At 45.1% G+C, this 16,047-nt stretch overlaps 1 protein-coding gene across 5 annotated transcripts in view, besides 1 other annotated feature; it reads left to right on the top strand.

Annotated features, from left to right (window-relative positions):
- The window catches only part of MAF (MAF bZIP transcription factor), a 398,116-nt gene that overhangs the window by 306,857 nt on the left and 75,212 nt on the right, over positions 1-16,047 (top strand). The gene's annotated exons all lie outside the window — the stretch shown is intronic.
- Positions 5,993-6,493: an enhancer, noted in NCBI's record as "H3K4me1 hESC enhancer chr16:79321285-79321785 (GRCh37/hg19 assembly coordinates)". NCBI's record gives its function as "activates a minimal SCP1, AML or CMV promoter by ChIP-STARR-seq in primed H9 embryonic stem cells {active_cell/tissue: H9 hESC(primed)}" and the evidence as "EXISTENCE:reporter gene assay evidence [ECO:0000049][PMID:30033119]".

Raw genomic sequence — 16,047 nt, 5'->3', positions numbered from 1 at the left:
CTCCTCTCTTTCTCTCTCTCTCTCTCTCTCTCTCTCTCTCTCTTTTCATTTAGAAGCCAGTGAGAAATTATAGACTGGCACAAGAAAAGGTGGTTCTTGTTTCTAGCATCCAACAATGGGATGCTCTGATAAAGTTGCCTTTCCCCTTCACAGACACACTACTATGCACAATTTCTACTAGGTGAACACCAACCAAGACTAATGTAAGAGTTGGGAGAAAAAGAGTGGTCATCTGAGTTCTGGAATAGCAGGCCAGGGTGCAAAGAACATAAGTCGTGGGGTCTGACCTCACTGAGCAATTTCCTAGCTCTGTGATGTGGGTGTCTAGCATCACTCATTTGACAAACATTGATCATTGCATATACCTCCAAGTTTCTTGTAAGGAAAAAGCAGTATATTACATATTATGTGCAAAAATGTAACATATAGAAAGTGTATATTACATAATAGGCATTTTTTAAACTAGAATTCAGTTTCATTTTCTCTTCTCTGTTTCCAGAAAATAATTCCATTTGTTTCAAGAATGTTTGTAGAACTGGCTTTGCCCATGTGAGTGAGGTCCCTTAATCCATCCTCTGTAGACTCTGTTTTGGGCACCCCTATTGTTTGGAGTCTTATTGGGGTGGCTCAGCATCAGGCCTGGGACACCCCAGGAGTTGGTGTTGTTACCAGAAAGGAATCCTGATCCAGACCCCAAGAGAGGGTTCTTGGACCTCACGCAAGAAAACTCAGGGCCAGTCCATAGGGTAAAGTGAAAGCAAGTTTATTAAGCAAGTAAAGGAATAAAAGAATGGCTACTCCATAGGCAAAGCAGTGGCATGGGCTACTCATTTGAGTATATTTATAGTTATTTCTTGATTATATGCTAAACAAGGAGTAGACTATTCATGAGTTTTCTGGCAAAGGGGTGGGCAACTCCCAGAACTGAGGGTTCCTACCCTTTTAGACCATTATAGGGTAACTTTCTTATGTTGCCATGGCATTTGGGCATTTGTAAATTGCCATGGTGCTGATGGGAGTGTCTTTAGCATGCTAATGCATTATAATTGGCATATAATGAGCAGTGAGGACGACCAGAGGTTACTATCATCGCCATCTTGGTTTTGGTGGGTTTTGGATGGCTTCTTTACTGCATCTTGTTTTATCAGCAAGGTCTTTGTACCCTGTATCTTGTGCTAACCTTGTATCTCATCCTGTGACTTAGAATGCCTAACTTCCCGGGAATGCAGCCCCATAGGTCTCAACCTCATTGTGACCAGCCCCTATTCAAGATGGAGTTGCCTGGTTCAAATGCCTCTGACTATATTGGTAATACATACTTCTGAGTTCTTTCTCTCTACCTGTGTGAGTTTCCTAGGACTGCCACAACCAAGTACCACAACTGAGTTACTTACAAAAGAAATTTACTCTTTCTCAGTTCTAGAGGCCAGAAGTTGAATAGTAAGGTGTTGGCAGGGCCATCCTCCCTCTTCAGGCTCTCGGAAAAGAATTTCCTTGCCTCTAACTAGCTTCTGGTGGTTGCCATCAATTTCTTGGCTTGCAGCTACATCACCCCAATCTCTGCTTCTATCATTACATGGCCTTTTCCCTGTATGTCTGTGTGTAATCACTGGATTTAGGGCTCACCCTAATCCAGTATGTCTTCTCCCTAACTTGATCACATCAGCAAAGACACTATTTCCAAATAAGATCACATGCACAGCTACCAATGGTTATGACTTCAACATGTCTTCTTAGAGATGCGATTCAACCCACAATATTCCCTACAGCTTCTGCTTGGAAAACCTTGTCCCAGTGTCTTCTTTTTAAGGATGAGAATGTTCTAGGGTATATATACCTTTAAGATGTCATCTTTCCTATTCTAAGCTTCAGTTTCCTCGTCTGTTTGAAAGAGGGACGATGCCACTTGCTGAATGGAGCCAGGCCCTACTGTTGTACCCTCATGAGAACCATCCAGTTCTCTGCAGTGACCCACACATCACACCTGCAATTCTCTATGCAAGGTGAGCCTTCACCAGGAGAGGTGATACCCTGTGAGGGCTGGGACCACAACCTCTTGTTCCCATTGTAAACCTAATTTCTAGCTCAGTTCCTACCATCTAGTATGTACTCAATATATACTTTTGAATGAATAAATAATATATCTAATATAATATATCTAAAGTTTTTAGCGCCATATTTGGCCCACCAGAGGTACCCAATAACTCATGGGTAGCTGGCTAGTCATTTGTATGACAACTTTTACTGTGTTTCTCCCTGCATAGGTCAGAGTAGAGTCTGGAAAACAGAACTCACCCCCAGATAGGTTCAGAGGAGGAAACTTAATATGAGCAACTAGTTACAAAGGTCTTAGGAGTGCTAAAAAGGAAAAAAGGAAAAGGTAAGGAGACTCAGAAACAAGGAAATTCAGGAAGCCACTACCCGCTGGAGAGTATCATGCTTTAGAGCCAGAATCCAAAAGCAGGAGATCTGGGCAGAGGAAAAGTGGCTGTACAATGGAAACTTGAACCAACAAGGTGACATGACACCTGAAGGAGAGGAGAGAAGTTCCCTGGCTTCTCCGTCCCTCCCACCAGCACCTCCCACTGTCCAAACCTACAGGAAGCCAGTTGGCAAGGGATTTGGGGAAGCCAGGAAATGTCATTCCCAGTGGTCACCTCCCTGCCCTCCACTCCTATGCTCTGTAGGAGAGGGAAGAGAGCTTGAAGCAGACCAGCAGACGACGGCCCCATTTCCTAAATGCAGGGGCTTCCACAAGCGGGGCTTCCACAAGCAGGGCTTCTGTGATTTGTAATGGGTCCTATGGGAGATGTGGAAAAAAGCAGTCTCTTCACAGACCTGACTACACTCGAGCATTCGTAATGGGGCATTTAGTGTTTCTTCCCCATGGTCCTCGATTGTCATTGTGAATAAGCATCACATCTCGGAGGAAGCATGTAAAATTGGAATTTCCAGACCCTATCCACAGAAAGTCTGGTTGAGGCCATTTTGGGGGTAGAGATTGGGAATCTGCATTTTTAACTGAGGGTGCTTTCTCATGGAGGACCAGCCTCAGTGACTCTAATGCAGTTGATTCAAGGTCAACAATTTGAGAAACACCAAATTCGCCCTGGGAGTTGGACGGTATTCTAGATTCCAAAGGAAAAAATGAGGCATCATTGGAAGCTGTTGCACGGAACAGACAGATCACACAGTGTCTCAAAGCACACCCGTTTTATGTAATAGACCAACAGGATGATCTGCTCCATGTAGCCAACCCCCCAGCCCAAATCTTGTGACTTTTACTCTGTTTTACTCTGGATTAGATAATGTACACACACGTCGCAGCATGGTTAAGCACACAGGCTCTTGGGACAGCTGTCCCTGGATTAAAACTCAGTTCCCCGTGGTTAAACTCTCTCTAAAAAGATGATTCTGACTCTCAGACCTCTGTTACCTTTTTGAACCCAAAGGGTATTCAGAAAGAAAAGGCTTCTTCATCTTGGGCATTGACTCGATGACCCATGTAACTAGTCCTGGGGAAAGATAATTTGCCGCAGAGCCCGTATGATTTATGGGAAATTAATATGAAAAGCCTGGCTATATCTCTCATCAGATAAAAGCTCGGTGTTGTTGGCATCCTCTGCCCTCTGTTCTAAGCCTCCCAGGAGACAACTCTTTTATCTGATTGGAAGTAGCTTCCCTCCCATGGGGTTTTGGACTTGGGATTTTAAGAAGATATACAGGCTGAGCACAGTGGCTCAGGCCTGTAATCCCAGCACTTTGGGAGGCCGAGGTGGGTGGATCACAAGGTCAAGAGATAGAGACCAGTGCCTGGCCAACATGGTGAAACCCCGTCTCTACTAAAAATACAAAAATTAGTTGGGCGTGGTGGCAGGCGCCTGTAGTCCCAACTACTCAGGAGGCTGAGGCAGGAGAATCGCTTGAATCCAGGAGGTGGAGGTTGCAGTGAGCTGAGACTGCACCACGCCACTGCACTCCAGCCAGGTGACAGAGCAAGACTCCGTCTCACAAAAAAAAAAAAAATACACAAACAAACATCCTGCCTTTTGTTCATCCCTGAGGGGACAGCCTGCCTAAGAGAACAAACTTTGGACTCTGAGCACTTGGATGCATCCCTCCCTCTGTTTTCTCATGAGTTGTGACACCTTGGAAGAATGATTTGACTTCTCTCAGCCACAGTTTCCACATCCCTAAAATGGTCAACAAGTGCCCCATTCAGGCTGCTTTGCAAAGCTGTCATGATAACCATATGGCCACAGTGGAAGGTCTTGTCTGATGGTCACAGCCATGACACACTCATCCGCCCGTAGTATAAGGCACAGGTGCCAGAATAGCCTAGAAGCCTATAAATGTTCTGCGAATTAATCAAGTACTCTCAGCTTCTCCTCCCAACCCCAAAAACCTGCTTCCTCTGCCTTCTCTCACGGTGGGTAGCCAAACAGTCCCCCAGGTGAGACATCTAGGTGTCCCCCTTCACAATTCCATCTTCTCCCCACTGCCACTCCAGGCCTTCCCTGAGACCCACCAATTTAACCTCATAATGATTTCCCCCATCTCCTCTCTACCTCCCGCCATCCCAGAAACACTGCTCTTGCCTGCCCCAGTCTTCCATCACCTCCTTTGTGGGCTCCCGCCACTCTGCTGCCAGAGCACTTTTGAAACACCAGTCACACCGTGCCACTCCCTGCTTGAAATCCCTACAGTGTTTCTCCACAATCTTGAGAATCGAGTGACATTTTCTTAGCTTGGAATACAAGTCCTTGCATGGCCTCATACTTCACTAAGACCAAACCACTTAGAGATCTCAGCAGGTATCTTTGCTTCTCTGTCTCCTTTAACAAACAAACAGGCTGGGTGCAGTGGCTTACGCCTGTAATCCCAACACTTTGGGAGGCCGAGGCGGGTGGATCACCTGAGGTTAGGAGTTTAAGACCAGCCTGGCCAACATGGTGAAACCCCATCTCTACTAAAAATAGAAAAATTAGCTGGGCATGGTGGTGCGTGCCTGTGATCCCAGCTACTCAGGAGGCTGAGGCAGGAGAATTGCTTGAACCTGGGAGGAGGAGGTTGCAGTGAGCTGAGATGGCACCACTATACTCCAGCCTGGGTGACACAGCGAGACCCTATCTCAAAAAACAAACAAACAACACACTGCTTATTCTCTTCCACCTGGAATGTCCTTCCTTTCCTCATGTTTACCTAATTCACTCACCTGTAAGATTCCACTACTCAGTCAATAAGCTTATTATCTATTTCTATATAACAACACCTTCCCAAAACTTAATGGTTTAAAATAATTGATTATTACTGTATCTCAAAATTTCACGTGTCAGGAATTCACACAGGGCTCAGCAGAGGTGACTTTGCTTTGTTCAGTGATGTATGGAGCTAAACTGTGATGACTCCCAAGGGCTGGGGGCTGAATAGGCAGCTCACTCTCTGTCCACATGGCCTCCCCACGTAGCAGCTTGGACCTCCTCACAGCATGGCAGCCTCGGGATTCTTATGTAACCGGCTTAGGATGTAGCAACTCAGATCTCCAAGAGAAAGGAAATAGAAACTGCCTTGAAATATCAGAAATGGCGATGGTGTGACTTTCACTGTACACTATTAGTCAAAGCAGGTCAGCCCAGGCTCAAGGGGAGGAGATACACACCCCACCTCTTGATGGCAGAAGCATCAAAGAACTTGTGAGCATCATTAATCCATCACTGTCATCATCTCCTTGAAGAAGCCTGGAGTCCACTCCTCCCCTGCTTCCCCTTCACCCTCCCTCTGCCCTCCCTCCAATGCCTTCCTCTCTGTTTTCTGATAAAAACAGAGTAATTACAAGCAGTGAAAAATATCCCCAAGGAACTGGGAGTAGTTTTGTTAAATAAAGGGTGCTGGAGCTCACTGGTATGGCACATGTTGTTTGGCACATAATGGGTTCTCAATAAATCGGAGCTACGATGAGGAGGGTTAGCTAGCTTTATTAAAATTAAAATGTGCCTTGTCTGTTTGGTGACTGCCTAACACAGAGAAGCTAACCCATAGGAGGTTCTCCCAAGGTGATGAATAAATGAATGAGTGAGTGAATGAAAGAATGAGTGAGTGAATGAATGGGTGAATAAATGAATGAGTGAATGAAAGAATGAGTGAATGAATGAATGAGTGAATAAATGAATGAGTGAATGAAAGAATGAGTGGATGAATGAATGAGCAAATAAATGGCTCAACAAACAAGTGGATGTTTCTGCATGCAGTCTGATTCCTGACGCTAAGGGATCCAGGCAAACCAAAAAATAACATCTGATTTCCGGCCTGCGTAGACACTCCAGCTTTAATTACACGTGGGTCATGGCAGGACTCAGGGTTTGGGGGTTTGGGGGAAAACACTTGGCCTCCTGCCACAACCCTCACAATGGACTAAGGTCTTTACCGCCAGCTGCTGGTCCTCAAGCTTCCAGTGTGGACTCACATCAGCTGTGCCTCCCCCGCCAGCCCCCGCCTCACCGGGAAGGGGCTGGTTTGCAGAATGAGACCCTCTCAAGGCCGAGGGCCCGGGAGTGCTTCCTCTCTGCCCCTAGCTGAACAGCAGCTGGGCTGGGAGCGTGGCAGGTGTCTAACAGCCTGCCGCAATCCTGCATAACAGGAAGTGAAAGAGAACACCATATCCAATTGAAACTGCAGTGGAATATGGGCTGCAATGCTTAATTAACCACCCTCAGTCATTTCACAGATTTCTGTTGTTGCTGAAGGAAAAAAAAAAAAAAAAAAGGAAGGCAGAGTACGTGGAGGACAACAAAGCTGATTCTGGAATGTTCGTTTGTGTTCATGCTCCCTGCTCCCACAGTCAGCAGCCTGCTGACATAACGCGAAGGGGACGCTCACTTCTGGCTTCGGTTTTTAATGGGTTTCCAAAGGGTTTTTTTGTCTGTTTGTTTTTTGGTTTTTTGCCAGAGAGTCAGGTCTGTGCCATACTCCAAGAACTCGTCGATACGTTTGTGTGGGAGGAGGCGGGGAAGAGGCATGTTGAGTGCATTTGTGCAGTTGTGTCTCTACGAGGGTGTTTGTGCAGAGGCACACAAAGCTGTGTCCTGGGTTGTGTGGGAGCCTGTGGATACGGCCATGTGAGAACGGGTGGACGTGTGGGCATTTGCCTCTGTCTGGGTTGTTTCACCTGTTAAAGATGCGTGGGAATGTCTGTGGGTAGCTCTGAGCAAGTTCTGTATCTATGTGAGGCACCAGTATGTATGCCTGGATAGATATTTCAATAGATGTGTCTTTGCCTATGCTGAAAAAAGTGAGTGAAAGAAGTATTATTGTTCAAGTGTGCATGCACATATACACGTGTGCATGCAAGGATAATGGTGTGGCAAATAAATGTGTGAGTGAAGATGAGAAACAGCATACTGCCAAATGTATCAAGAACCCACTAAGTAGTTGGCAGTGAATTTATGCTATGAAACTATCTGCTACTTGATGGTGGGGCCAACTTTTCAATATCAGGTGACCTCAGCTTCCTTCTCTAGCAGAGGATAGTACAGAGGACTTTTCTAAGAAGGTTCCATAGTTTCTGTAGGCTTCACTTTGCATCATCACCTCATTTTCCAAACCAAACTTGCCTGTTCACCTAGATAGACTTTCTGGGGAGAGTCTTTGGAATGCTGTAAATTCTAAACGGTTTTTAAACAAAAAAGTATTTAAAAAGTATTTTAAAAGTATTTTAAAAGAAAAACCAGCTAGCTACTGCTTATTAAGGGCTGACTAGTTGGCCCATATCACCCAGATGCCTATCAATATTGATCTTATTTGATCTCTCAATAAACTTATTAGGTAGGAACTGTTATCATTTCCTCTGTAAACTGAAGTAGCCAGTGGGAGGTAGGGCCAGGGTTTAAACACACACTGTCGTGCTGTAGAACCCAAACTGTACTGAGTCATCGTCCCTAAATATGGGGGCAGAGATGGTGCCCCTTTGGCTCAGCCAGTTGTGCAGTGGGAATAATTTGCCACACTGCCCTTAGGAACAGTGGTCCCTTCTGTGAGCACCAGAATTGCTCCTGGAAAGAATGGCAGTGCAGACCTCAGTGTGCGCTGGTCACGTTGGGGAAGTCACCTCCCGCCTTCCTGCAGGACGTCAGTGCCCTCATTTGGTGGTGAGTCCTGCGGTGCCCTCTGGCCTTGCGGAATCCAGCTCCTGAGCAGCACACTTTCAGGATTTCAGGGTGGTTTCTGAGTAATGGATTCCCCACCCCTGGAGGCCACCAGAATCACCATGGTAAACTTCCTATAAAAGCAACATCCAGAGTCCCACTCCCAGAAATTCAGAGTCAGCGGTTCTAGAGAGGAGTCAGGAGCTTGCGTTTTGCACAAGCCTTCCCTGCTCCCCACACCTAGGGGACTCTGATGTAGGTGTCCAGGGACCAAATTTTCGGAAAAACTGCTGTCCCTATTTTCCAGCTGTACAGCTTAGGCATTCTCGTCCCTAATCCTAAAGGAGCTATCAAGAAGGAAGCCCTAATTCTAGGTCCAAGGCCACTCGTGGCTAAACAGTGCCCAGAATGGACCTAAGGAAAGCGGGGCCGTATATATTATGGCTTAAAGACCTAACGAAAGGGGGGCCGTATATATTAAAAATATTTTTTTAATAGATATTTTTTCCAAAGTCCAGTCTGCACTGACAGGCAATATTTCTTTAAAAGCTGCTGGGGAGAGCAGCAGACAAATGCCTATGAAGCCAGGCATCCCTCAAGGAATTTAAATGGGTCAGGAACTCTTAAAGAATTTAAATGAGCATGAAATAGGTATGGAAGGTTTTCTGGGCCAATATGCAAGCCAAATAGTAAATAACTATTTTCAGCACTGAGTTTGGTTGGCAAATTTGCATATACATGTGATGCCGTACGTTTCTATTTTTACCATGTAAATCTGCAATCTGTAAAGAGAGCCGCGTGCCTTCGTGGAAATCCAGGCTTGGACTGTTGGCTGGGGGGAGAGCTGATTTTCAGTCTGGCTGGACCCAGAGTTCTGTATTTTTAACGAGTCCAGGTGACTGAGAGATGAGCAGAAAAGAGGCACGGTGCACACTTGAAGTTTGTTCTCAGGTTGAGCCCTCATAGTGCCCAGATTTCCCCCAAAGCAAAGTGTTCATGCCTGAAAAACGGAAGTTAAAGTGGAAAGTTTGACATTTTCCTGTGACACCAGCCCTGCACAGTTTGAAACAACTTCCCAACCTTTCTTAAAAAGTCACCCTTGTTTTATGACTAACATTATTATTATCGATGATTATATCATTGGGATTATTATGATGATGGTCAAAATGTGAGAAAAGCATTGGCAGACATCTGCCGAACTAGAAATATCTCTGCTCTCTTTCCTGGTGCCCTTTTATGTTAGGCGTCTGCAATGAGCTAGATGTAAAGGTTTTGGGTAAATTTTTTGATGCCTTACTTTAGGCCCAGCATATAGTTGCCACTCAGGTATTTTGTAATTACCCAGTGGAACCCTCTAAGGGGTGATGTTGCCAAGTGAATGGGGCATTTGCCTTTGGATGGTGTGGAAGTAGTACCCGTCCTTCACCTTTTCTTGCTGCAAGAATGCATATGGCAGAAAGAAGGAAGTGCAACATCTTTCATATCAAGACCTTCATACCAAAGGGAGTTCTGCTGGGGTAGAAGGCGGATGGAGGTGGTTTGCCATAGCTTGTTTGCTTTAAGCTCCTGGGCGCAAAGCTTGCTGAAGGGTCAGTGGTGTTCTGCTAAATCGCCACTTAATACCAGCAATTTCTAGCACAAATATCAGGAGATTAACTTTATTAAAATACCTTGTAGTTGAGGAACATGGTAAGTGTAAATTTGTGCTAAAAGGACCCTTGTTCTGCCATCAATCACTACTATGGGGCTTTGTCTTTTTTTTTTTTTTTTTTGAGGAGGAGGTGCAGGGGGTAGATTATGGTTTCACTTAAATGGAAGGTGAGTGAAGCAGATTAGCTCCCCAGCTACCCCGTGCAGGAGACACTGGCATGTCTGTTTGAGGACAGGCCAAGCAGCTTGGTGAAAGTTCAGGTGCATCTGCCCAAGGTCTCTGGAGGTAGTGCAAGTGCCAAAGCAGCGTGCAGGTTCTGTGCGGCCTGTGCTTAGTTCTCAGATACTTTCATTTTCAGAATATTAGTTCCTTTGTCAGAGCTAACCCAGAGTCTGTAATGATTGCTGAGCAATTGGTTATGGCGACACTACCATATTTGGACAATTTTCAGAAACTACCTAAGATTTTTATGACAGCTTCAAAGACTTGCAAAATGTTTTTTAAGAGATCTTTTTAATCGTTTTTTAAAAGTTTGTCATTCCCTTTCTTTCAGTCATCAGAAAAGCATATAGGTGACCTAAAGGCGTTGGATGTAGAATTTGGGACTACAAATTAAGCATTTGAGGATCTTTTTAAAATACAAAGATTTATGCTTACACTGCTCTAGAATGAGGAGAACTTTTTACCAATTTTAAGAAGCTTTTAAAAAGAATATATTGCAAATTCTAGCCCAAAGTGTAAACTTTCTGGAATGTACTTATTGTGAACTGGGAGGAAGTTTCATATGTCTAATGTAACATGGCGTGCTTTTCTAGAAAGATGGTTTTCTTTGTTCATCATTGAGTTTAAAAATTATTATCTTACACAAACCCTATCCATTCATCCATTCATCCATCCATCCATTCATCCGTCCATCTATCCACTCACGCCATAAATATGTGAAGGACATTCACAATGCCTGGTACTGTGCTGGTTGCAGTTACCAGAGATACAAAGATGAATCAGAAACATTCCCTATTCCCCACCCTCAAGGAGCTCAGAATCTGGTACAATAGACCCTTGGCAGGTGCAGGTTTGACATTTGTGGTTTTGACTATTTGTGAGTAACCCAAAGCTTTATGACTTCCTAACTTGTCATTTTTGCTGCTTCATGGGTTTGAAACATGCCTTTGATGAAACTCATAAGCAAATAGGACCCTTTGGATTAATGAATGGGTTTAGCTGACAGCCCACAGTCCACCCTGAGACTAGCTTTGTAGTTCTGCACCCAAAATCATTCTCCTCAGGCGATAAAATACTGTTCAAGGGAGAATATTAAACCCCCAGATGAAACCACCTGCCAATGCTATTTATTAAACTAAAGAGAAAGTAAAGAGATCTACTTACAGTTTTGATTGGAGAGATCATATGACAAACTGATACTGAGTAATTTGAGAATTTGCACCTTCCTAATCTAAAAGGTCTTCTTTGGCTAAAGAGAGTTGAGTTCATTCTGTTACCGTAGCCTTTGGGGAAGCGGTGACTGTGGGGCCAGTTATAAGTATTCCTGGGACTCCAAGTTGCAGGACTTCTGTCACTTAAAGATTCAGATCACCTTAAAGATTCAGGCTCCCACTCTTTGGTGACACCATTAATATTTTCCTTTTAGAGGAGGGATACCCTAGTGCCCACATCACTGATGCTACATTAGTGGTTATTCTGGTTCTGCTGTTTTTATGATCACAAAGTTAAAAGAGAAATTGATCCACCAACCTCCTAACAGTTTTATAATCTCCTCTCCCAGGGAACTTGGGGTGGCTTCCTTAATGCCTGGGCCATGGATATTTACAAAATACCACTCCGAGTCTCCATTCCACTTTGAAACCACGGGTGTCCCCAGTTTAGACAGACTTTTGGCTTCCTAATTGGCATTTCTAGAACTCATGGCACTAGGCTAATTTTTGTATTTTTAGTAGAGACGGGGTTTCACCATCTTGTCCAGGCTGGTCTCGAACTCCTGACCTCGTGATCCAACAGCCTCGGCCTCCCATAGTGATGGTATTACAGGCATGAGCCACTGCACCCGGCCTTTTTTAACTCTTACCTTCAAGACCCAGACACCAGGACTCCTGTTGGATTGTTCCATATCAAACTATCCTGGGGTGAGATTGCAGATCAGTATCCTCATTGTGGTCCTTGCTAGCCACACACAGAAATGCAGGGTTCTACAATTAATACAGGAGTTTAGGGGAGAGTGTGTGCTGTAGGCGTAAAGGATTGTAATGGATTTTCCGATGAGCACTTTAGGAGGCTGAGGCAGGCAGATCACAAGGTCAAGAGATGGAGACCATCCTGGCCAACATGGTCAAACCCCGTCTCTACTAAAAAGACAAAAATTAGCTAGGCGTGGTGGTGCACCTGTAGTCCCAGCTACTGAGGAGGCTGAAGAAGGAGAATCGCTTGAACCTGGGAGGCGGAGGTTGCAGTGAGCCGAGATGGCGCCACTGCACTCCAGCCTGGCGACAGAGCAAGACTCCCTCTCAAAAAAAAAAAAAAAAAAAAAGTCTTCAAAGAGTGAGCTTTCTCAAGGTGCTTGAGATGGGATTTCATATACAAACAACTGAATTACAAACCTTTTTTCAGGAATACAGCTCACTTGCTTAAAGCAAGGCTCACCTTAAATATTTGGTATTAAGTACCCTATGGCTCTCTTTTTTATTTGTTATGACCTCTGACTTCTTTTATTAAACCATAGATTGTATTTTCTAACTCTTTTTAGAGGCTTTCTTTCATCTTTCACGATCATCCCCCTAGACTTTGGGATTAGCTGGAGCATTTACCTAATACCCTTTGCTCATTACCCTCCATGTCCTTTTTTTTTTTTTCATATTGAAACTATTGGTTAAATGTATGTGCAAAAACAAGAAAAGGTATGTGCACATCTTCCGTCCAACCTCCTATCTTCTACTTCTTCCCTCTGGTAGCCTCTGGATAATCATTCATCCTCTATTTGTCTTCGTCTCTTCTTCCTCTTCCTCTCTGCTCTTTTTCCTTCTGTCTCTTTTTCTCCCTGTCTCTTGCTGCTTTTTCACCTGCCTTTATCTTTGCTTCTTCCCCTCCCATTCTGATCTGGGAGACACTCCTTTCTCAGGGTCGGGGGTGGCAATCACTAGACTGCTTTGACAATGGATCAAGGAAGAGGGAAACTAAATCTTCAGAGTCAATTCATACTCAATAAGGAATCCGCATCAGAGTCCTTTAAAATGTTCCCACGCTGTCTTAGGTGCAGTTCCTGAGGAGTACAATGGGAGAGAGTGATTCCTGGTGAGCAGTGTAGTGACAGGGAAGCCAGGATAGGAGCTAGTAATGCAGGGGCTGGACAAGACAGTGGATGGAGATGTGGGTTCAGCTGAAGTCTAGCATCACCCTGAGCCCACAGGGGCCCTGGAGTGTGAATAGCACTGCAGCACCCCAGAGAGAAGAAATATCTATTTTAAGCCTTCCAGTTCTTGGTCCTTGCTTCAAGCAGCCCTAGGAAACTCAAAAGACACATATGCAAGTGATCCCTCATGGTGGAAGAATGAGTTTAGGTGGTGGCCCCCCAAGCTGGCCTGTGCATACAGGTTTTGTTGCAGAATCCCAGGGGTTCTAAAACTTTTAAATTTGAACCTGGCCTTCAAATAGTTGCGAACATGTATTTGCCAAAATAGGAGGATAGAGGTTATGTTTTAATAGTTTCTTAGTTGGATTTGCCCTTTTCAAAACTTAGACTGCAGCTGGACTCTTGATCCAGTCCCCACAAATGTTGAGGTGAGTCTGCCCCAGACCTCTCTTCTCCCGGCATTTACACAAAACTGGATTTATCAAAAAAGTCCCAATTATAGAGTGACTTCTGCTGCAAGCCCGGTTAACCAACACGTGCAACTGGCTTAACCTTTTCTGGATTTTCCTAAATGTAATTTTTTCCCTTCTTAAAGAGAGCTGAAAATCACTTCTGGTTAATAGGGCAGCTTATCGAGCTGATGGTCTTCCTGTTTCCTTACCTGCTGTGGCCTCACATCATCATCAGAAGAATCACTCTGCTTTGGAGCCTGTGACAGGGGCAGCAGAAACCATGCTTCACATCAAAGCATCGAGAACACTTCCATTGCCCACAAACTGTGTCCCGGGCAAGCCCCGTATTTATAACATTTTCCAAATCAGTGTAATTTAGATTGCCTTTTTATGAAGAATAGGCTGGACTTTCCCCAAATCATCTAGTGCTCTGCCAAAGCTCTGGGAGAGTTATTTTAAAAACAATAAGCAGGTTGTTAAAAAAATATATAAAAGAAAAAAAAAGAAGCAGCAGCAGCTCTGCTCGAATGAATCCCAGGCTTGGAGGTCAAAGTGTAAGAGAACCCCTGCGCGAGGCAACATATGCCATTAGGAGAGGAACTGGCCACGGTCCTTGCCCTCTGGGGGTTCACACTTTAGTACAGTCAGATCTGAGCCACTTGCAGGGGTGAGGGGTCAGTGCTTGAATGTCCCTCTCTCCAGCTTCGTCATCCTGCAGCCCAGGATCCACCTGCAGTGGGCATCTCTGTTCTGTCCTGGCCTGTGCTCCCCGCTTCAGCCTCTTCCCCAGGTCCCATTCCCCACAGCTACTCAGAAAGCAAGTCCATGGAGTGTGCGTTCATGGAACAGAATGAAACTCAGAGCCACTAACCTTTACGTGTCCCTTAATAGAAGTGAAACCTCCTTGTAACTTTCAGCCCCATTTTCTCTTCACCCTAGGCTGGTATTGCTGTCATTCCCACTTTCCAAAAGAGGACAGTGAAGCTCAAGGAGGTCACAGTGACCCAGCCAGAAACAATGGAGAGCTGACTAGGACCCCACATGCATGGATCGGGGTGAGAATGAGGGGGTGGAGAGGGAAGAAGCAGCATTCTACCATTTCCTATGTGCGTGACCTTAGAGAAGTCATCTGATTCCTGAAGCCACTGGTTCCTGTCTATAAAATGTTGATGACAGGGCTACCTCCGGAGCAGCTGGAGGTGAGAATTGAATGATAAAATATATTCAGAATCTTTAGCATATTCCCCCAGAAAATAGGAAGCATGCTGTATCCTGTATACATATATTTGAGGGGTATAGCAAGTTTCCAAATTCTGAATTCCTCCTCCTCCAGCCTACAACTTTTCCATGGCCCCATTCCCCAGGAACCTGGTACACCACCTACTTTCACATTAATAGACGTGTTCAGTAGGCTGTGCCTTTGCCCCGAAGATCCAGTGTCAGCAGAAGGGGCAGACACTTGGGGGCCAGCAGGCAGGAAGGCAGGGAGCCATCTCCTGTCCCCCTGTCAGGGCGGGTCCCTGTTTGGGTAGCTCGACAGGCTTCCTGACTACGCAAATCACACCGAGAGCAAGGCTTGGTTTCTGAAACTGCTAGTGCCTTCTACCCACGAAACCCCAAACCCGGCACTCAAGGAGGCTAGAAACAGCTCTTGCGCTTTCAGACACAGACACGGAAAAAGCAATACTTCAAGCAGGCATCTTCCTTCCAAAAGCTCACTTTGAAAGTCAAGGGCCTCTTCGTTCTGTACACAAGAGAGAAAATGGTTCTTAGGTGAGAGAACAAGTTGATGGAAAAGCAAGCCGGAGGATTTGCAGGAGGGAAAACAAAAATCTTGGGAAGAGACCTTGTTTGTTTCTTTTTCCTCTCTGTCCTGGCAAGTCACAGGGATTTCGCTTCCAGAAGAAAGATGGCATTGATTTTTAAACCTGTAGTTTTTAAGCATGGTATTTATTTTCATCCAAGTAATGGAAAAGTCAGGAACATGCAACTAAAGATTTTGCTAAAGATTCACTTTCCCCTTGAACGGTTGCCATCTAACCTGCCCTTTTTGGGCAAAGGATGGCTGTCAGCTGGTCTCCCATTTCCCGAGACTGTCTCTGAACTTGCAGGGGGCAGGTACCTGGACGACTCAATCTAGTCCTAATTAGACAGCTGTGTCCTGTTGAAAGGAAAGAAGCAAACTTGTATTCACTTAGTACAGTTTTATAATGTTTGCAATCGCAGGCATTACCCCAGGGGCACCAATTAAAATGCACTTTTCCAGGCCTTCCCTTAGAGAGATGTCAAATTAGTAGCGCTGGGCAGATCCTAGGAACCTGCATTCTTAACAGATGTGCCCCACCCCCAGTCAACTCCCAGCCAATTCCCAAGTGTAGTGTTCCCCAGATCACACTTTAGGAGGCACAGATATAATGCCTCCTAAAGACCAGACACCTTGTG

Source organism: Homo sapiens, chromosome 16 (genome assembly GCF_000001405.40).
Source record: "Homo sapiens chromosome 16, GRCh38.p14 Primary Assembly".
Lineage (NCBI taxonomy): Eukaryota > Metazoa > Chordata > Mammalia > Primates > Hominidae > Homo > Homo sapiens.
This window is presented reverse-complemented; position numbering and strand designations above follow the sequence as displayed.